Source organism: Homo sapiens, chromosome 19 (assembly GCF_000001405.40).
Source record: "Homo sapiens chromosome 19, GRCh38.p14 Primary Assembly".
Taxonomy (NCBI): Eukaryota; Metazoa; Chordata; class Mammalia; order Primates; family Hominidae; genus Homo; species Homo sapiens.
Window position 1 is genome coordinate 51,209,250 of NC_000019.10, and position 20,454 is coordinate 51,229,703.

The 20,454-nt window shown below is 42.9% G+C and overlaps 1 protein-coding gene, 2 long non-coding RNA genes and 1 pseudogene across 16 annotated transcripts in view; 2 read left to right on the forward strand and 2 right to left on the reverse strand.

The window, feature by feature from the left end:
• LOC107985327 (uncharacterized) overlaps positions 1-20,454 on the reverse strand; it is an 84,260-nt gene that overhangs the window by 22,342 nt on the left and 41,464 nt on the right. The window lies entirely within an intron of this gene.
• LOC124904751 (uncharacterized) lies at positions 792-3,735 on the reverse strand. Its single transcript, XR_007067311.1, has 3 exons — positions 3,575-3,735; positions 2,757-2,850; positions 792-1,688 (listed from the first exon to the last, which is right to left on the reverse strand). It is a non-coding gene; the product is annotated as an uncharacterized LOC124904751 (long non-coding RNA).
• On the forward strand, positions 1,821-2,352 carry SIGLEC22P (sialic acid binding Ig like lectin 22, pseudogene; annotated as a pseudogene).
• CD33 (CD33 molecule) overlaps positions 1,827-20,454 on the forward strand; it is a 28,941-nt gene continuing 10,313 nt past the window's right edge. For 5 of the 14 annotated variants that reach the window (XR_007067046.1, XM_047439730.1, XM_047439728.1 and 2 more), the window contains exons 1-9: positions 1,827-2,339; positions 2,543-2,821; positions 5,781-5,874; positions 6,228-6,308; positions 15,407-15,592; positions 15,843-15,906; positions 15,969-16,349; positions 16,554-16,832; positions 17,060-17,107. Coding sequence is in view for 13 of the 14 variants with exons in the window: in XM_047439730.1 (XP_047295686.1) it covers positions 15,458-15,592; positions 15,843-15,906; positions 15,969-16,349; positions 16,554-16,832; positions 17,060-17,107 (907 nt within the window). In the remaining variant the exon portion in view is untranslated. Of the gene's footprint in view, positions 2,340-2,542; positions 2,822-3,058; positions 3,107-5,780; positions 5,875-6,227; positions 6,309-15,406; positions 15,593-15,830; positions 15,907-15,968; positions 16,350-16,553; positions 16,833-17,059; positions 17,108-20,454 lie in introns of those variants that run through there. The other 9 variants (NM_001772.4, NM_001177608.2, XM_017027508.2 and 6 more) reach the window with 8 other exon arrangements.

The window sequence follows — 20,454 nt, forward strand, 5'->3', positions numbered from 1 at the left end:
ACCTGAGTACCATTAGTGAAAAATGGGGAAATCTCAAATGCCTATCAATAGATGAATAAATATAGGACTATAGTATATTCATACAATGGGATACTACTGAGCAATATCACACTGTGAAAACTATAGGCACAAACAACTTGGTTCAGTTTCAAAAAATATGCTGAGTGACAGAATACAGACACAGATGAGTACATTCCTTCCTAGGAAATTTTGAAATAGGCAAAAGCGACACACTATGAGAGAGAGGATCTCAGTGGTTGCCTGGCACAAGAAGTGGGAATGATGAACTGCAAAGAGGTTAGGCAAAGCCCTTGGTGTAGTGGAAATGTTGTATATCTTGATTGTGCCAGTCACAACAGGGCTGTATGCACCTGTCAAAATTCATGAAAATGAACACTTCAAGTGGGTGCACATCACCTCATGTAAATTATACCTAGTTAAGTTCATTAAAGAAACACAGTAAGACAGATTTTCTTATGTATCCTTCTACTCCATGAATGTGGTATGATATTTTACTGTTAAAAGTAAATATACTGAATATTATATTATGTGCCTATACTATCTTTTAAAATAACTTACAGCAAGATATTGTTTTATCTATTGAGGACTCACTTCCTTATATTTAAAAAGAGGATGGAAATACCTCTCTATGGTAGGTAGGATGAATGAACATTTTTATAGATACTACTGTGTATAGAGATTTTACCTGTATATGGTTGCAAATACTGATATGTCTCAGGCATTGAGGATCTCCCAGGTGTGTACCACAGAGAGTAAAATAAAAAACCATATGAGCTGAAGCTAAATTTTAATTTTGTCTGTACATTCAACTCATATTGTCTGGAAACATTATGTCTTTGGGCCTCATTTAATTATCAGAAATGTATTTTTACATGAAAGAAAATGCTAATCTCTATGGTAAGCCCCATAAAAAAATTGCTGCTGTCCCCACTGCAGGGAATGGCAACACTAATGGAAAAGAAATTTCTTCTGGACTTGTTCACAGAAGCTTTCGTTTTACATGAAAATACTACATGTTTCTTATTTTAGAGATGTCGCTGAAACATTGCAAATCAGTGTACTAACTGCCAGGGGAAAAAATCCATAGTCATACTTCTTAAAAATACCTCATATGATACCATGACATATGGCAAAGTCACCAGCATCCACAGCTGTGAAGCCAAACAGTATTTGTGTGTGGTGAACATGAGGCTATGGATGGGGAGTATCTAAAGGGGAGGGACCAGGTCAGTGGCATCTCTTCTTGTCTCCAGCCTCATTGGCACATAGATGCTCGGTATAGCTTAGGTGAATGAATGAATGAATGAATTGAATGAATGAATGACTGTCACCTTCACCACATCTAGGACCCTTCTTCATTTCTTCTGCCCCAGACACTTACATGAACCCTACAGAAACCTATATCCTGCAGGACGAACCACCCCACAGGTCAAGAAGAGGCCGTGACTCGGGCCAGGCCTGGAGTGACCAGCTGCCTGGTGTAAACAGTTGTGCACAGAAAAGCACCTCAGAGTGGAAGGACTTTAGACATGGGGTTCGCATGTCTCAGATGGCCCCGAAGGTACTGATCCAGGCTCTGGTGCTCCTGGAAGGCAAGACTCAGATTCTGCTCCATCTCCTCCCATCTCTGGGCGAGTCTCTGGCATCTCTGGCCCATGAGGGTCAATCTGTGTGGAGGGGACAAGCTCTGAGCACGTGTGGGTCTGAGGTTCCTCTTCCATGCAGGGCTGAGGTTTCCTGCTCCTCCCCAGCTTCCTGTCCGGCCCTGTAGTCCTTCCCCTCCACTCCCTTCCTCTTCTCTGCTCACACAGGAAGCCCGGGAAGCCTCTGCCTCAGACATGCCACTGCTGCTACTGCTGCCCCTGCTGTGGGCAGGTGAATGGCTGCGGGGAGAGGGGTTGTCGGGCTGGGCCGAGCTGACCCTCGTTTCCCCACAGGGGCCCTGGCTATGGATCCAAAAATCCGGCTGCAAGTGCAGGAGTCAGTGACGGTACAGGAGGGTTTGTGCGTCCTCGTGCCCTGCACTTTCTCCCATCCCATACCCTACTACAACAGGAATTTCTCAGTTCATGGTTACTGGTTCCGGGAAGGAGCCATTGTATCCAGGGACTCTCCAGTGGCCACAAACAAGCTAGATCAAGAAGTACAGGAGGAGACTCAGGGCTGATTCCGCCTCCTTGGGGATCCCAGTAAGAACAACTGCTCCCTGAGCATCGTAGACGCCAGGAGGAGGGATAATCGTTCATACTTCTTTCGGATGGAGAGAGGAAGTACCAAACACAGTTACAAATCTCCCCAGCTCTCTGTGCATGTGACAGGTGAGGCACAGGCTTCAGAAGCAGCCACAAGGGAAGGTCAAAGGGACCTCAGGACAGGGCTTGGGATGGGACCCATGTCCTGGAAGGGGGTTGGGAATGAAGCCTGTCAGACTCAGGGGAGGACCCGGACCAGAACCTGAGCTTCCCTCAGGGCTGTACCTCAGTCACCCCTTCCTGATCCTGCATCCCCGTTTCCTCACCAGCCCTGACCCACAGGCCCAGCATCTTCATCCCGAGGACCCTGGAATCTGGCCACCCCAGGAACCTGACCTGCTCTGTGCCCTCGGCCTGTGAGCAGGGGACGCCCCCCATCTTCTCCTGGATGTCAGCTGCCCCCATCTCCCTGGGCCCCAGGACCCTCCACTCCTCAGTGCTCACGATCATCCCATGGCCCCAGGACCACGGCACCAACCTCACCTGTCGAGTGACGTTCCCCGGAGCTGGTGTGACCACGGAGAGAACCATCCAACTCAGTGTCTCCTGTGAGTGCTGGGCCAGGACGCCTGGGTCCCTGAGGGTGTGATGGGGGGAGGACCAGGAGAGAGGAGGACCAGGACTGGGGCCACTGGTGGCTGTGTCCTAGAGGCCTGGCTGAGTAGAAGACCTAGGCCACAAGCCCTGTCTCTCTACATTTCTGTGGCTTCTGGGGTAGGGAAGGAGTGCCGCCCTTATCTCACCCTCACCCCAACTGAATGGGAAATCCTCTCTTATTGTCCTAGATGCTCTAGGGAACCTAAAGATTGGTGTCTCCCTAGGAGAAGGCACAGGTAGGATAGAAACTCCCTCCTTGGGAAGAGGAGACCTTCAGCTCAGGGCAGGGGTGGGCCTCTCCTCATCCTGACCTCACCTCATCCTGGTGATCTGACACCCTTTTGTGGGTGAACCAAGGCCCCATTCCCATCCTCAGCCCCCATGGCCATCTGAACACCTGTCCCCATCGCCCCCTCACTCCCCTCAGACCCCACACACAACCCCCTCAACCCCACAACAAGGGCAGGGTGATATTCACACACAGACCCAGCCTTTCAGCTTCCCTACATTCATCACCTGAACACGCCTCCTGCCTCCTCTTTCTATTTCCCCCTGTAGTTCAGACCTAAGTGCTTCTGGACAGGTGATACAGTCTCATGGGAAGAACTTAACAATGCACAGCGGAGTCTGTCCTTAGATGCCCGTCCTCCTCCCCAGAATTGACCAGTGTCCACCCTGGCTGCTCTGAGCCTTGGTGTGTTCACCTGAAGGATCTCAGAGGTCATTTGGCAGCAACAGCATAGACTGTTCTTATCCTCCTGTAGGACGCCTGTGGTATTCCATTGCATGAATAGAAATTCTGTATAAATCTTCTGCTCCTGGAAAAGCATGGCATTGATTTTGTTCTACCAACAGACACACTGCAATGAATAATCTTGTATCTACTTCAGCAAGTGTATGCCTATGTATGTGGGACCTGTTCCTAAACGCAAAATAGCTAGCTTAGACGTTCTTTTTAATCTTGTGAAATATGGCAAAATTTTTCTCAATCAAGAGTGGGCAAGCTGACATTCCCAAAAGTAAGGGGTCAAGGTGCTTGTTTTCGTCAACCCAGTGTGGAAGGAGACCTTTTGGTTTTTGCCAATGTCAGGTGACAATTGTTGTGTCCGTGTAGTTTTTATTAGATAAAAATTCACATAACATTAAATTCACCATTTTAATCATTTTAAATTGTATGATAAAGTGGCTTTTAGAATGCTCACAATGTTCTTTAACCATCCCACTATCTAATTTCAGAACATTTTAATCACTCAAAAAAAACCTCTAACTTTTTGAAGAAATACCAGACTGTTGTCCACAGTGTCAGCACCAATGTATGTTGCACCACCAATGGGTTTGGGTTGCAATTTCTCCATATTCTTGCAAAAATTCTCATTTTTCTTTTCTTTTGTTTTGTTTTTTGTTTGTTTGTTTTTGTTTTGTTTTTTGTTTTTTGAGATTGAAGTCTTGCTCTGTCGTCCAGGCTGGAGCACGGTGACACAATCTCAGTCCACTGCAACCTCCACCTCCCCAGTCCAAGCAATTCTCGTGCCTCAGCCTCGCAAGTAGCTGAGTTTACAGGCACCCACCACAATGCCTGGCTATTTTTTTTTTTTCAGTAGAGATAGGGTTTCCCCATGTTGGCTAGGCTGATATCGAACTCCTGACCTCAAGTAATCTGCCTGCCTCGGCCTCCCAAATTGCTGGGATTACAGGCGTGAACCACTGCGCCCAGCCTCATTTTTCTTTTTCTTTTTTTTTTTTTCCTTTTTTTTTTTTGATATAGGGTCTCGCTCTGTCGCCCAGGCTTGACTGCAGTGGTGCAATCTCACCTCACTGCAACCTCCACCTCCCAGATTCAAGCAATTCTCCTGCCTCAGCCTCCTGAGTAGCTGGCATTACAGGCATGTACCACCACGCCTGGATAATTTTCGTATTTTTAGTAGAAACAGGGTTTCACCATGTTGTCCAGCCTGGTCTCAAACTCCCAACCTCAGGTGATCCACCTGCCTCGGCCTCCCAAAGTGCTGGGATTACAGGCATGAGCCACCATGCCTGGCCTCATTTTTCTTTTCCTTTTTTTTTTTTTGTTTCTTTTCTTTCTTTTTTTTTTTTTTTTAGATGGAGTCTCACTCTGTCACCCAGGCTGGAGTGCAATGGCATGATCTCAGCTTACTGCAACCTCTGCCTCCAGGTTCAAGCGATTCTCCTGCCTCAGCCTCCTGAGTAGCTGGGATTACAGGCACATGCCAGCATGCCCAGCTATTTTTTGTATTTTTAGTAGAGACAGGGTTTCACCATGTTGGTCAGGCTGGTCTCGAATTTCTGACCTCGTGATCTGCCCACCTTGGCCTCCCAAAGTGCTGGGATTACAGGCGTGAGCCACTGTGCCAGGCCTCATTTTTCTTATTTAAAAGATGTATAGCCTAATAGTGAGTGTAAGGTACATCATTGTAGATTTAATATGCATTAACATAATGATGAATGATGTTGAGCGTATTTTCATGGTCTTATTGATTATTTATATCTTTTGGTAAAAGTTTTATTTAAGTCCTTTGTCCATTTTTTCATTGGATAATTTCGGTTGTTTGTAATTTGAGTTGTAAGTGCTCTTTATATATGTTGGATACTAGACCCTTACCAAATCCATGATTTGCTAATATATGCTCCCATTTTGTGAGCTATCATTTCACTTTTCTGATAGTGTCAATCACTAAACAGAATTTTAAATTTTGATAAAGTCCAACTTACATATCATTTCTCTACCCAACCATTGGACAGTCAGGGCATGGTTTATGGTAAGCCCTGGGCTCATGTGATCTCACAGCCAGGGATGCCTGAAGGGTCTGGAGAACCTTCCTTTTCTTATGTTCAATATGGACACAGATTGTGGCTTGTCAAGTGAATCAACCTCATCCCACTTTTTTGTAGGGAAATCAAGGCCTGTGACAAAGGTGGTTCTTGTGGCCATTGGGGAGGCAGCTGTGAAGATCCTGCTTCTCTGCCTCTGCCTCACCTTCCTCAGGTGAGCACTGCCCCAGGGGAAGTGTGTGGAGGGCAGGAGACATGATGCTGAATCCCAGAATCTCAATCATGGAGATACTCAAATACCTTAAGAGCACCTAGGACCAGGCAAGGAGCTCAACTGGTGGTGAGAATTCCACATGGTTCATTTGTAGTCAGGCCTGTGTCTGTCCCAACCCGAGGCCAAATGCCAGGGTGGAGAGGTTTCTGTTCTCATAAAGAAGATCTTGAGGGCTAGGCCTGCTCTGTCTACCACATTTTCTATCAGCCCCTTTGCAGCGCACAGGGAGGTGAGTCTGCTGCCCTCTGCACCCCAATCTGGCCACACTTATATGCCCCGATCTCTTCACTCAGTGTGAGGTCCTGCAGGAGGAAGGTGGCAAAGGCAGCAGCAGCTGTGGAGGCTGAAAACACTGCCATGGGCTAATCTCTCAGGTGAGTGTTGTGGACGTCTCACCCTCCAATATCGTGCTGGATGACTTCTTTCTGTGGCCCCCAGGATAGCTGCACTCAGCATGGCCAAAGTTGAACCTCCCATGTCCATCCCCAAACCCACTTCTCTTTAGCCCCATCTCTAAAGTCAGAACCAGCTTGTGGGTCTCCACCTTGACCTCCCCACCTTCTCCAGATCTCATAAATCACCCACTCTTGTCCCTCTTTCTCCCAACCAGGGCTCATTTGGTGCCCTTTTCTCCGTCCTGACCTTGGTCATGCCTGGGCCCTCACCTCCTCCCTGGTCACTGAACCATCCTCACCTTTTGCCTCCCTGTCTCCCCAGCACAGGCCTCCAGACTCTGCTTCTAGCTGCCTCCTCGTCCAGTGCCTCCACAGTCTGAACAGCCTTGTCTCCTTGTTTCCTCTCCATTGCTGGAGAACACCACCGTCTGGACTGAAGGCCTTGCACGTTCTATCCTCCACTGGACTCTCCTGATCCCTCCTTTCTCTGTGTCACCCAAAGTCTCCCCACACCCACTGGGCCAAGCCCTCTATGACTCTGAGACTTTGCATGTGTAGTTCCGTTTCCTGAAATGCCCTTCCCTCCCATTCCTGCCAAGTCCAGGTCCTGATTGTCCTTCAGGCTCAGTCTTAAATGTCACCCGAGTGTGTGTGTGTGTGTGTGTGTGTGTGTGTGTGTGTGTGTGTGTTTCTTGTATGATATTGAGGGAAGGAGTGACATTTATTCATTAATCTATAGATTCTTTGGTAACTATACTGAACACCTACTATGTGCCAGCATTGTTGTAGGTGCCAGGGGTTCACTGGTAGACATAGCATCAGAAATCTCAGTATTAAGAAGATGTTCTGGGCTGGGCATCGTGGCTCACACCTGTAATCCCAGCACTTTGGGAGGCTGAGGTAGTGGATCACCTGAGATCAGGAGTTCGAGACCGGCCTGACCAACAAGGTGAAACCCCATCTCTACTAAAAATCAAAAATTAGGTGGGCATGGTGGCATGTGCCTGTAGTCCCAGCTACTCGGGAAGCTGAGACAGGAGAATTGCTTGAACCTGGGAGGCAGAGGTTGCAGTGCGAGACTCTGTCTCAGAAAAAAAAAAAAAGATATTCTGAAGACAAGATGGACATAAAAAAAGGAATAAGCAATAGAAAGTATTTAACTATATAGGATGGCAATATATGTTTAGAGAAAAATCATGCAGGGAAAGAAGCATAAGATATACTGGGGAACCATCTCTGTACCTGATGATGGGAAGAGATTATATTTGGGCTAACACATGAAGGTGGTGAGGAAGCAGGCTCTGTGTGTATATAAGCAAAAGCATCCCAGGAAGAAGGAAAAGGGGGAAGAGCAAATGCATTGCTCAGAGGCAGCAGTAGGCCTGGGTGTTGCAAACACACCCAGTAACCCATGTCTAAGAGCAGAGGGAGGCAGAGGAGTCAAGCGGTGGAAAGGACACTGCAGACCACCTGGTGCCCTGCAGGCCACACAGGAACCTAGAGCCTTTGTGGAGAGGAGAGACTCAACTGGACTGGATCCCTTGGCTCCCTGGCGAGAGCAGGCCTGAGCGGGTCAAGGCACCTACAGACAGACTGGGAGAGCGCTGCTGGATCCTCCAGGAAGAGGAATGAGGTCTTGAACCAGACAGGCAGGGTTGGAGTGAGGATGTGTTTTTGGATGTATTTGGAAGGTCAAGCTCACAGGATTTTCTAATGGATATAGTCATTGAGGGGAAGGGAAGAGCATGGATAAAGCCAGAATGTTCCTCTGAACATCTCACTCTTTCGAAACTCCAATGTCTTTTTTGTTTTTGTTTTGTTGTTGTTGTTGTTTTGTTTTTTTTTTTTCTTGAGACGGAGTCACTCTGTTGCCCGGGCTTGAGTGCGATGGTGTGATCTTGGCTCACTGCAACCTCTGCTTCCCAGGTTCAAGCTATTCTCCTGCCTCAGCCTCCCGAGCAGCTAGGATTACAGGCGCTTGCCACCACACCCAGCTAATTTTTGTTGTTGTTGTATTTTTAGTGGAGACAGGGTTTCACCATGTTGGTCAGGCTGGTCTTGAACTCTTGACCTCAAGTCATCCACCAATCTTGGCCTCCCAAAGTGCTGAGATTACAGGCATGAGCTACCACTCCTGGCCTCCAATGTCTATTATTCCACACTCTATGCCCATGTATACACATTATTTAACTACACTTATACATGAGAACATATGATATTTGACTTTCCACTTCTGAATTATTTCAGTTAAGATAACCTTCAGTTCCAACCATGTTGCTTGAAAAGACATGATTTCATTCTTTTTCATGGCTGGGTAGTATTCCATTGTATAACCCCCATTTTCTTTATCCAATCATCCATGGATAAGCATTAGGTTGATTCCATATCTTTGCTGTTGTGAATAGTGCTGCTACAAACATACGAGTGCAGGTATGTTTTTGATATAATAATTTCTTTTCCTTTACCCAGTAGTGGGATCATTGGATCAAATGGTAGTTCTATTTTTGGTTATTTGAGAAATCTCTCTGTTTTCCGTAGAGGCTGTAATAATTTACCTTCCCATGAACACTGTATAAGCATTTCCTGTTCTCCACATCCTCACCAACATCTGTTATTTCTTGACTTTTTAAAAATAGCCATTCTATCTGGTGGAAGATGATTTCTCACTGCGGTTTTAATTTGCATTTATCTGATGATTAGTGATGTTGAACCTGTTTCACATGCTTCTTGGCCACTTGTATGTCTTCTTTTGAAAACTGCCTATTCATGTCTTTTGCCCACTATTTAATGGGATTTTTTGTTTTTTATTATTAAGCTGCTTCAGTTTCTTGTACATTCTGGATATTAGTCTCTTATCAGATTCACAGTTTGCAAATATTTTCTTCCATTCTGTAGGTTGTCTGTTCACTCTGTTGATTATTTTTTATGCTATGCAGAAGCTTTTTAGTTTAATTACATCCTGTTTATCTATTTTTTGTTTTGTTGGATTTGCTTTGAGATCTTAGTTGTGAATTCTTTGCCTACGCCAATGTCCAGAAAAGATTTTCCTAGGTTTTCTTCAGTATTTCTATAGTTTCAGGTCTTACATCTAAGTTTTTAACCCATCTTGAGTTAATGTTTGTGTATGGTGAGAGATAGGGGTCCATTGCATTATTCTGCACATGGCTATCCAATTCTCCCAGCACCGTTTAATTAATAAGGTGTCCTGTCCCCAGTGTATGTTTTTGTCGACTTTGTCAAAAGTCAGGTAGCTGTAAGTATATGGCTTTATTTCTGGGTTCTCTATTCTGTTTCATTAATCTGTGTGTCTATTTTTATACCAGTACCATGCTTTTTTGTTTACTATAGCCTTGTGGCATAATTTGAAGTCAGGTAATGTGATGTCTCTAGCTTTGTTCTTTTTGCTTAGGACTGCTTTGGTAATTTGGGTTCTTTTTGTTTCTATATGAATTTTAGAATTTTTTTTCAAATTATGTGAAATATGACATTGGTATTTTGATAGGAATTGCATTGAATCTGTAGATTGCTTTGGGCAGTACGGTCATTTTCAAGGTATTGATTCTTCTGATCCATGAGCACGGGATGCTCCATTTTTCCATTCATCTGTGTCATCTACAACTTATTTCATCAGTATTTTGTGGTTTGCCTTGTACTGATCTTTCACCTCCTTGGTTAAATATATTCCTAGGTATTTTTCTGTTGCAATTGAAAATGAGATTGACTTCTTGATTTTTCTTCTGTTAGATTACTGTTGGTGTATAGAAGTGCTACTGATTTTTGTACATTGATTTTGTATCCTGAAATTTTACTGAATTAATTTATTAAATCTAGGAGTCTTTTGAAGGAGTCCTTAGAGTTTTCTAGATTTAAGATCCTATCATCAGCAAACAGAGATAATTTGACTTCCTCTTTTCCAATGTGGGCGCCTTTTGTTTCTTTCTCTTGCCTGATTAATTGCTCTAGATAGGACTTTCAGTATCAGGTTGAATAGCAATGAAGAGAGTGATCATCCTTGTCTTGTTCCAGTTCTTAGGGGGAATGCTTTCAGTTTTTACCCTTTCAGTATGATGTTGGCTGTGGGTTTGTCATAGATGGCTCTTATTATTTTGAGATATGTTCCTTTAATGTCTAGTTTGTTGAGGGTTTTTACCATGAAGAGATGTTGGATTTTATCAAAAGCTTTTTCTTTGTCTAGTGGGATGATTATATGGTTTTTGCTTTTAATTCTGTCAATGTGATGAATCACATTTATTGATTTGCATGTACGGAAACATCCTTGCATCCCTGGAATAAAGCCTACTTGATCGTGACGAATTATCTTTTTGATGTGCTGTTGAATTTGGTTTGCTAGTATTTTGTTGAGGATTTTTGCGTCTATGTTCATCAGGGATATTGGACTGTAATTTACTTTTCTCATTGTGTCCTTGCTAGGTTTTGATATCACGGTCATACTGGCTTCATAGAATGAGTCAGAGAGGATTCCCTCCTCCTGAATATTTTGGGAGAGTTATTCTTTGTACATTTGGTAGAATTTGACTGTGAAACCATCTGGTCCTGGACTTCTATTTGTTGAGAGATTTTTTTCTATTGCTGGTTCAATCTCACTACTTGTTATTGGTCTGTTCAGCATTTCTATTTCTTCCTGATTCAATCTTGGCAGAATCTTATGGTTCTAGGAATTTATGCATTTCCTCCAGGAAAAGTTCCTCTCCATGTTTTGAAACAAAAGATATTATTCTCTCACAGTTCTGGAGGCTAGAAATTTGAAATCAGTAAGGCCAGGCAGAAATGAAGGTGTTGGTTGGACTACAACACTCCAGAGACTTGAGAGGATCCATACCTCGCTTCTTCCACATTATTGTGGCTGGTGTCATTCCTTGAATTTTGGCTGGACTGCTCCTACTTCTGTCTCTGGGGCCACATGGCCTCGCCTCCTTCTGTGTATATCACATCTCCCTCTGCTTTTCTCTTATCAGGACTCTTGTAGGACTCTTGTGATTAGATGTAAGGGTTGACTGCATAATCCAGGATTTCCACTGGTCAAGATCATTAATTTAATTAAAGTTGTAAGAATACCTATAAAGTAACAATACAGGCTCAAGAAACTAAGACCCAGTTTTCTTTGGGGGTCATTATTCAGATTACTGAGCCGCTGTGTGATCTTCTGCCCCCTAGGAGGCCCCCATCTGCCCTCCAGACCTTGCCTTCTCTTTCTATTACTTTCTCTGTTCTTTCCGTCCTGACACACTAGTGGGCCAACTCATGTAACGCGTATTTATGGGAATGGGGTCTATTATACCATAAAAGACACTGATAAGACAGCCAAAAGATAAGTTACAGGGTGATAACACCTGAATATAGGTATCTGATGAATGACTTGTATCCAGAATATATCAAGGACTCTCAAAACAAAAACATAAGTAAACCACAACAGCAACAACAACAACAAAAGGCCCAATTTTGTGTAAATGAAAAAGCAGCCACTCAACAATAACAAAAAATAAACAACACTTAAAAATGGACAGAGGGTGTGAATCACATTTCTCAAAAAAATATAGTACTCAAGGCCCTCACCAGAAGCAAATGCCAGCACCACATTTCTTGCACAGCCTGCAGAACTGTGAGCCAAAATATATCTGTTTTCTTCATAAATTACTCAGTCTCAGATATTCCTCTATAGCAAGCCAAGAATGAACTAACACAATATTTTAAAAAGGTAGCCAAAGGTTTTATCAGCCACCTCACCAGAAAAGAAAAACAGATGGCAAACAGGCTCATGAAAACATACTAAAGATCATTTGTCCTTAGGTAATTATAAATCAGGAGAATAAGCATTCTTAGGTAGCATTACATACCTGAGAACATAACTAGAAAACAAAACAAAAATAAAAAGAAATGTTTAAATATTCTGATAATATCAAATGTTAACAAGGATGTGAAACAATCAGAATTCACACATAACTCCTGGTGGGAATACAAAATGGCACATCAACTTTGGAGAACAGTTTGACAATTTCTTATAAATTTAAACTGAACACTTACCATAGGACCAGGCACCTGACTCCTAAGTATTTACCCAAGAGCAATAAAAACTTACAGTTACACACAGAAACCTGCATGCCAATATTTATAACAACATTATTTCATAGTCACCCAAACCTGAAAACAATCTGAATGCTCCTCAAATGGTAAATGCATACAAAATGGGGGGTCCATAAAAACAGTGAGTTACGAGTCAGCAATTAAAGGGAACAAACTATAGATTCATACACTCAACCACATGATTGAACCTCAGAGGCACTGCACCAAGTAAATGAAGCCAGACTTTGGAGGCAACATTTTGTATGATTCCATTTATACGACATTCTGTGAAAAGGCAATACAGTAGGGATGGAAAACATATCAGCATTTTTTCATGGACTAAGTGTGGAGGGAGGGTTGACTACCCAGAGACAGGAGGAAGGAACGTTTGGTTAATGACACTCTTCAGTGTCTTCACAGTGGTTGTGGGTATATAATTATATACAACTCTCAAACCATATCAAAATTGCATATGATAAAGAGTTAATTCAACTGTATCTAACTTTAAATAAATTAAAAAATTTAAAACACTGGATGCCACTATGCTCTCACTAGAATTGTTCAAATATAAAGCAGGACAGTATCATACGTCGACAAGGGTGTGGAGCTACTGGAATTCTGGCACATGGCTAGGAGGAGTGGTAAAAAGTCAAAACCATTTTGGACAACAGTTTGGCAATTCCTACTAAGGTTAAACTTACAAGTAGTCATTAGTCTGACTATTTATCTTCCTGTGTATACCAATTAGTATAAAACCATGTATGTAAAAAGACTTGTACCTGAATACCTGTAGGGAGAAAACTGGAAAATCCTTGTCTATCAATAGGTGAGAAATAAAACATTATAGTATACACATAAATGGAATACTACTTAACAATATCACATTTTGAAATACAGACACAAACAACGTGGTTCAGTTTCAAAAAATATTATGCTGGGTCATAGGATACAGACACAAATTAACACATCTCTAGGAGATTTTCAAATAGACTAACTCACAATGAAAGAGGACATATCAGTGGTTGCCCAGCATAGAAGGTGGGAAGAAAAGCCCTTGGCATACTAGAAATGCTGTATATCTGCAGTGTGGTGAGTATACAGGCTGTACATACTCGTCAAATCTCATGCAAATGTGAACTTCAAGTAGGTGTGCTTTATTTCATGTAAATTATACCTAATTAAATTCATTAAAGAAACACAGTAAGACTCACATATTCATATTTGATCTTCTGGTCCATGAACATAGTATGACTTTATTGTTAAAACTAAATGTGGCTGGGCACAGTGCCTCATGCCCATAGTCAAAGCACTTTGGAGGTCGAGGTGGGAGGATTGCTTGAACCCAGGAGTTCAAGATCAGCCTGGGGGAACATAGCAAGACCCCATCTCTCCTAAACATAAAAACAAAAAGTTACTCCGGCCTGGTAGTATGAGCCTGTGATCCCAGCTACTAGAGAGGATGACGTGGGAGAGTCACTTGAGTCTGGGAGGTCAAGGCTGCAGTGAACTGTGGTCAGGCCGGTGCACTCCAGCCTGGGCAACAAAGCAAGACCCTGTCTTAAAAAAAAAAGCACTAAATGTATTGAATTTTCTATTACGTGCCACATGCTAAATATTTAAATAACTTACAACAGATATTATTTACTGGAGACTTAATTTGTTGTATATCAAATGAGGATGCAGCTACCTCTCTATTAGTAAGGATGAATGAAGAGTTATCTAGATACTATTGTGTGTAGAGATTTGACAAAGGTATGGTGGCAAGTACTAATATGTCCCAGGGATCAACGGTTTGCTGGATGCATACTACACAGAGTGATATGGAAAACCATGTAGCTGGACCTAAAGTTTAATTTTCTCTGTACACTCCACTCATGTTGTCTGGAAATATTATGTCTTTGGGCCATATTTAACTGTGAGAAGCAGATTTTTACATGAAAGAAAATGTTGATCCATATGATGAGCCTCTAAAAAAACTTGCTTCTGCCCACACTGAACCAAATGGCAGCATGAATGGAAAAGAAGTTTTTTCTGCACTGGTTCATAGAACATGTGTTCTCCCTTTTGTTTCACAGGAAGATGCTGCATGGTTCTTGTTTTGGAGATGTCATTGACACTGTGCAAATCAGTGTACTAGGTGCCAGGGGAAAATTCTATAGTCATATTTCTTTTAAAATTTCCAATATGCTACCATGATACATGGCAAATTCCCAACTTTTCACAGCTCTAAAGCCAGACAGCATGTGTGTGTGTGGTGAGGACATGAGGCTATGGATGGGGAGTATCTTAAGGGCAGGAATCAGGTCAGTGGCATCTCTTCTCAAGCCCCACCTATACACAAAGGCTCACTGTAAGAATTAAAGAAAGAGGAAAGAAACACGAATGGTGGCTCACCAGTCAAGACAGATTTTAGAGAAAACAAACCTGAGAGGAGTTTCTGGCCGAGTTAAGTCAGAGGCACACTCTCTTACAGACTAAGAGTTTTTAAGGATTTAGGGTGGGAGAGTTTATCAGAGACTTGGACTGCTTCTGAGTCTCTTTGTTGTGCTTATCTGGGAGAGAGAGGTGTGTGTCTGTACCCATACATCTTTCTGCAGCTACAGGCATACCCACTGAGTCTGCTTTTAGCTTCCCTATCTTAGTGCACCTGAAGGGAAAGGAATTTGCTTATTAAGGCCCACTGTTTTACTAGGGCCATTGTATGAGGGTGAAGTTTGGCAGTAACTCAAGAGACTCTCCCCCTACCTCCCTCTGTGCCCGAGCTGTCTTATCTGTGTTTCACTGTCTGCTCTTTCTGGTTGCTTGTAGTTAGCAGAGAAGTGATTTCCTTGAAATGCATGAGGCTAGAAAGGAAATTGGAACTTAAAGAGGCAGTGTTTCTCCGAGATGACGGTGCTCCTGCTCTGTCACTCACTATATCTTTAGTGAATGAATGAATAAATGAATGGCTGCCACCTTCACTTTACCTAGGACTCTTCTTTGTTTCTCTGCCCCAGACACTCACACGGACCCTATAGAATCCTATATCCTGCTGGACTAAACACCCCATGGATCTAGGTGAGGCTGCGACTCGGGCCAGGCCAGCAGTGATCAGCCCTGGTGTAAACAGTTGTGCACAGAAAAGCACCTCAGAGTGGAAGGACTTTAGACATGGGGTTCGCATGTCTCAGATGGCCCTGAAGGTACTGATCCAGGCTCTGGTGCTCCTGGAAGGCAAGACTCAGATTCTGCTCCATCTCCTCCCATCTCTGGGCGGGTCTCTGGCATCTCTGGCCCATGAGGGTCAATCTGTGTGGAGGGGACAAGCTCTGAGCATGTGTGGGTCTGAGGTTCCTCTTCCATGCAGGGCTGAGGTCTCCTGCTCCTCCCCAGCTTCCTGTCCGGCCCTGTAGTCCTTCCCCTCCACTCCCTTCCTCTTTTCTGCTCACACAGGAAGCCCTGGAAGCTGCTTCCTCAGACATGCCGCTGCTGCTACTGCTGCCCCTGCTGTGGGCAGGTGAGTGGCTGTGGGGAGAGGGGTTGTCGGGCTGGGCCGAGCTGACCCTCGTTTCCCCACAGGGGCCCTGGCTATGGATCCAAATTTCTGGCTGCAAGTGCAGGAGTCAGTGACGGTACAGGAGGGTTTGTGCGTCCTCGTGCCCTGCACTTTCTTCCATCCCATACCCTACTACGACAAGAACTCCCCAGTTCATGGTTACTGGTTCCGGGAAGGAGCCATTATATCCAGGGACTCTCCAGTGGCCACAAACAAGCTAGATCAAGAAGTACAGGAGGAGACTCAGGGCAGATTCCGCCTCCTTGGGGATCCCAGTAGGAACAACTGCTCCCTGAGCATCGTAGACGCCAGGAGGAGGGATAATGGTTCATACTTCTTTCGGATGGAGAGAGGAAGTACCAAATACAGTTACAAATCTCCCCAGCTCTCTGTGCATGTGACAGGTGAGGCACAGGCTTCAGAAGTGGCCGCAAGGGAAGTTCATGGGTACTGCAGGGCAGGGCTGGGATGGGACCCTGGTACTGGGAGGGGTTTAGGGGTAAAGCCTGTCGTGCTTAGCGGGGGAGCTTGACCAGAGGTTGATCTTCTCTCAGGCCCTCACCTGGACCCTCCCTCCTGATTCTGCATCCCCTCTTTCTCCTCACTAGACTTGACCCACAGGCCCAAAATCCTCATCCCTGGCACTCTAGAACCCGGCCACTCCAAAAACCTGACCTGCTCTGTGTCCTGGGCCTGTGAGCAGGGAACACCCCCGATCTTCTCCTGGTTGTCAGCTGCCCCCACCTCCCTGGGCCCCAGGACTACTCACTCCTCGGTGCTCATAATCACCCCACGGCCCCAGGACCACGGCACCAACCTGACCTGTCAGGTGAAGTTCGCTGGAGCTGGTGTGACTACGGAGAGAACCATCCAGCTCAACGTCACCTGTAAGTGCTGGGCCAGGATGCTGGGGTCCCTGAGGGTGTAGGGGAGACAGGATGGGCTGGTGCTGGGGACATTTAGTGTCCTGGAGGCCTGGCTGAGTTCGGGAGCCAGAAGGACATGAGCCCTGTCCCTTCTGCATTTCTGTGGTTTCTGGCAGGAGTAAGGGGAAATGCCTACCCTTATCTCATCTCTACCCCCAACTGAAGGAAATCCTCTCTTCCTCTCCTAGATGTTCCACAGAACCCAACAACTGGTATCTTTCCAGGAGATGGCTCAGGTAGGAAGGAGCCTCCCCGCCTGGGGCTGTTACTGACATTGAGTCTGTGTCAGGTTTGGTCAGATCTGGACTTTCAGAGTCAAATGTTCAGAGGCAAGGCCTGCAGTTAGACACGGGTAGACATCAGGCACCTTGGAAAAGGATATTTGGGGATGACTAGCAACTTCCCCCTTGCCCATCCAAATAATGCTCTTTGTCTCCCTCCTGTCTCTGAATGTCTTGGGGTATTTTATTTTTAATTGATATGTAATAATAGTACATATTTATGGATGGCATAGTGATGTTTCCATACTAATAATGTATAGTAATCAGATCAGGGTAATAGCATATCCATCATCTTGAACATTTATTATTTCATTGTTGTTGGGAACATTCAATATCCCCTTTCTAGCTATTTGAAGCTATCTATTATTGTTAAGCATAGTCATCCTACAGTGGTATAGAACACCAGAACTTATTCTTCCTTTCCAGGTGTAATCTAGTATCCTTTAACAAATCTCTCTCCTTATCATTGTTCCCCTAACCTTCCCAGCCCTTATTATTCTCTGTTCTACTTTTTACTTCTATGAAATCAACTTCTTGTAGCTTCCACTTATGAGTGAGAACATGTGGTATTCAACTTTCTGTTCCTAGCTTATTTCATTTAACATAATGTCCTCTAGTTCAATCTATGTTATAGTGAATAACAAGATTTCATTATTTTTTATGGCTGAATGATAATCCATTGTGTATATACGCCACATTTCCTTTATTTATTCATCTGTTGTTGGACACTTAGGTTTATTTCATATCTTCCTATTGTGGATAATGCTGCAATAAACATTGAGGTGCAGACGTTTCTTCAATATACTGATTTCCTTTCCTTTCTATAAATGCCCAGTAGTGGGGTTGCTGGATCATATGGTAGTTCTATTTGTAGTTTTTTGAGAAACTTCCATACTCTTCTCCATAGTGGTTATACTAGTTTACATTCTGGTCAAAAGTATATAAGAGTTCCCTCTTCTCTACATCCTCACCATCATTTGTTAATTTTCATCTTTTTTTTATCATAGTCCTCCCAACTGGGGTGATGTTACCTCATTGTGGTTTTGATTTGCATTTCCCTGGTGATTGGTGACGTTGAGCATTTTTCATATACACTTGTTGGCCATCTGTATATCTTTTCTTGAGAAATGTCTACTCAGATAATTTGCCCATTTTTAAATGAGATTGGGTTTCTTTGCCATTGAGATGTATGAGTTCCTCGTATGTTCTGGATATGAATCACTTGTCAGATGAATAGCTGACAAATATTTTCTCCTATTCTGTAGGTTGCCTTTTCACTCTGTTGGTTGTTTCCTTTCTGCATAGAAGCTTTTTAGCTTGATATCATCTCATTTATTTACTTTTGCTTTTGTTGCTTGTGCTAGTGAGGTCTTACTCATAAAATATTTTTCCAGACCAATGTCCTAAAGCATTTCCCCTATGTTTTTTTCTAGTATTTTTTAAATTTTGTGTCTTATATTCAGGTCTTTGATCCATTTTGAATTGATTTTTGTATAGGACGAGAGGTGTGAGTCTAATGTCATTCTTCTGCATATGGCACCAGTTTTCCCAGCATCATTTATTAAAGAAACTGCTCTTTCCTCAATGAGTGTTCTTCATGCATTTGTCAAAATTCAGTTGGCTGTAGATCGTGGATTAATTTCGGTGTTCTCTATTATGTATTATTGGTGTATGTATCTGCTTTTATGCCAATATCATGCTGTTTTGGTTACTACAGCTTTGTAGTTTTGAAATCTTTAAATTTTTGAAATTTTGAAATTTTCTAGTTTTGAAATTTTGAAATCTTGTAGTGTGATACCTCCAGCTTTGTTCTTTTTTGCTTGGGATTGCTTTGACCATTCAGGCTATTTTTAGTTCCATATGAATTTTAAGATTGTTTCCTCTAATTCTGTGAAGAATTACATTGATATTTTGATAGAGCCAGGTTTGAATCTGTAGATTTCTTTGGGTAGTATAATCATTTTAGCAATATTAATTCATCTGATGAGTAAGGAATGTCTTTCCATTTGTTTGTATCCTCTTCAGTTTATTTCCTCAGTGTTTTGTAGTTTTTCTTATTAAGGCTTGTCACCTCCTTGGTTAAATTTATTCCTAGGTATACTTCATTCTCTTATAGCTATTGTAAATGTGATTGCCTTCCTGATTTATTTTCAGCTAATTCATTGTGTGTAGAAATGCTACTGATTTTTGTATATTGATTTTGCATCCTGCAAATTTACTAAATTCATTTATCAGTTCTGAGAGTTTTATTGTTAGAGTCTTTAGGTTTTTGTTTTGTTTTGTTTTGTTTTGTTTTGTTTTTGAGATGGAATTTCACCATGTTGGCCAAGCTGGTCTTGATCTCCTGGCCTCAAGCAATCTGCCCACTTTGGCCTCCTAAAGTGCTGGAATTACAGGCATGAGCCACCACGCCTGGCCAAGTCTTTAGGTTTTTGTATGTTATTTGCAGAGACAATTTGACTTCCGCCTTTCCAGTTTGGATGGTTTTTATTTCTTTCTCTTGCCTAATTGCTCTGGCTAGGACTTTCAGTACTATGTAAAATAAGAGTCATAACAGTGGACATCCAGTTCCTAGAGGAAAAGATTTCAGCTTTTCTCCATTCAGTATGATGTTAGCCATGGGTTTGTCATATATGGCCTTTTTTGTGTTGAGGTACTTTCCTTCTATACCTAATTTATTGAGAGTTTCTATCATGAAACAATATTGAATTTTAACACATGCTTTTTATTCTGCAACTATTTAGGTGATCATACGGTTTATGTCCTTCATTCTGTTGACATATGTATAACATTTATTGATTTGCATATGTTGAATCATTCTTGCCTTTCTGGGATTAATCCCACTTTATCATGGTATGTTATCTTTTTGATGTATTGTTGGATTTGATTTGCTACTATTTTGTTGAATATTTTTGCATCTATGTTCATCAGGGATATTGGCCTCTAGTTTTCTTTTTTTATTGTCTCCTTTCTGATTTTGGTGTCATGGTTATGCTGGCCTTGTAGAATGAGTTAGGAAGAGTTGCCTCCACTTCAATTTTTTGGAATAGTTTGAGAAGAGTTGGCATAATTTTTTTTTCTTTAAAGGTTCAGTAAAGTTCAGCACTGAAGCCATCCAGCCCTGGAATTTTCTTTGTTGGGGGGCCTTTTATTATTCATTCAATCTCATTACTTGTTGTTTGTCTGCTGAAGTTTTCTATACCTTCTTGATTCAATCTCGGTAGATTATATGTGTCCAGGAACTTATCCATTTCTTCTAGACTTTCAAATTTGTTGGCATATTGTTCATAGTAGTGTCTAAG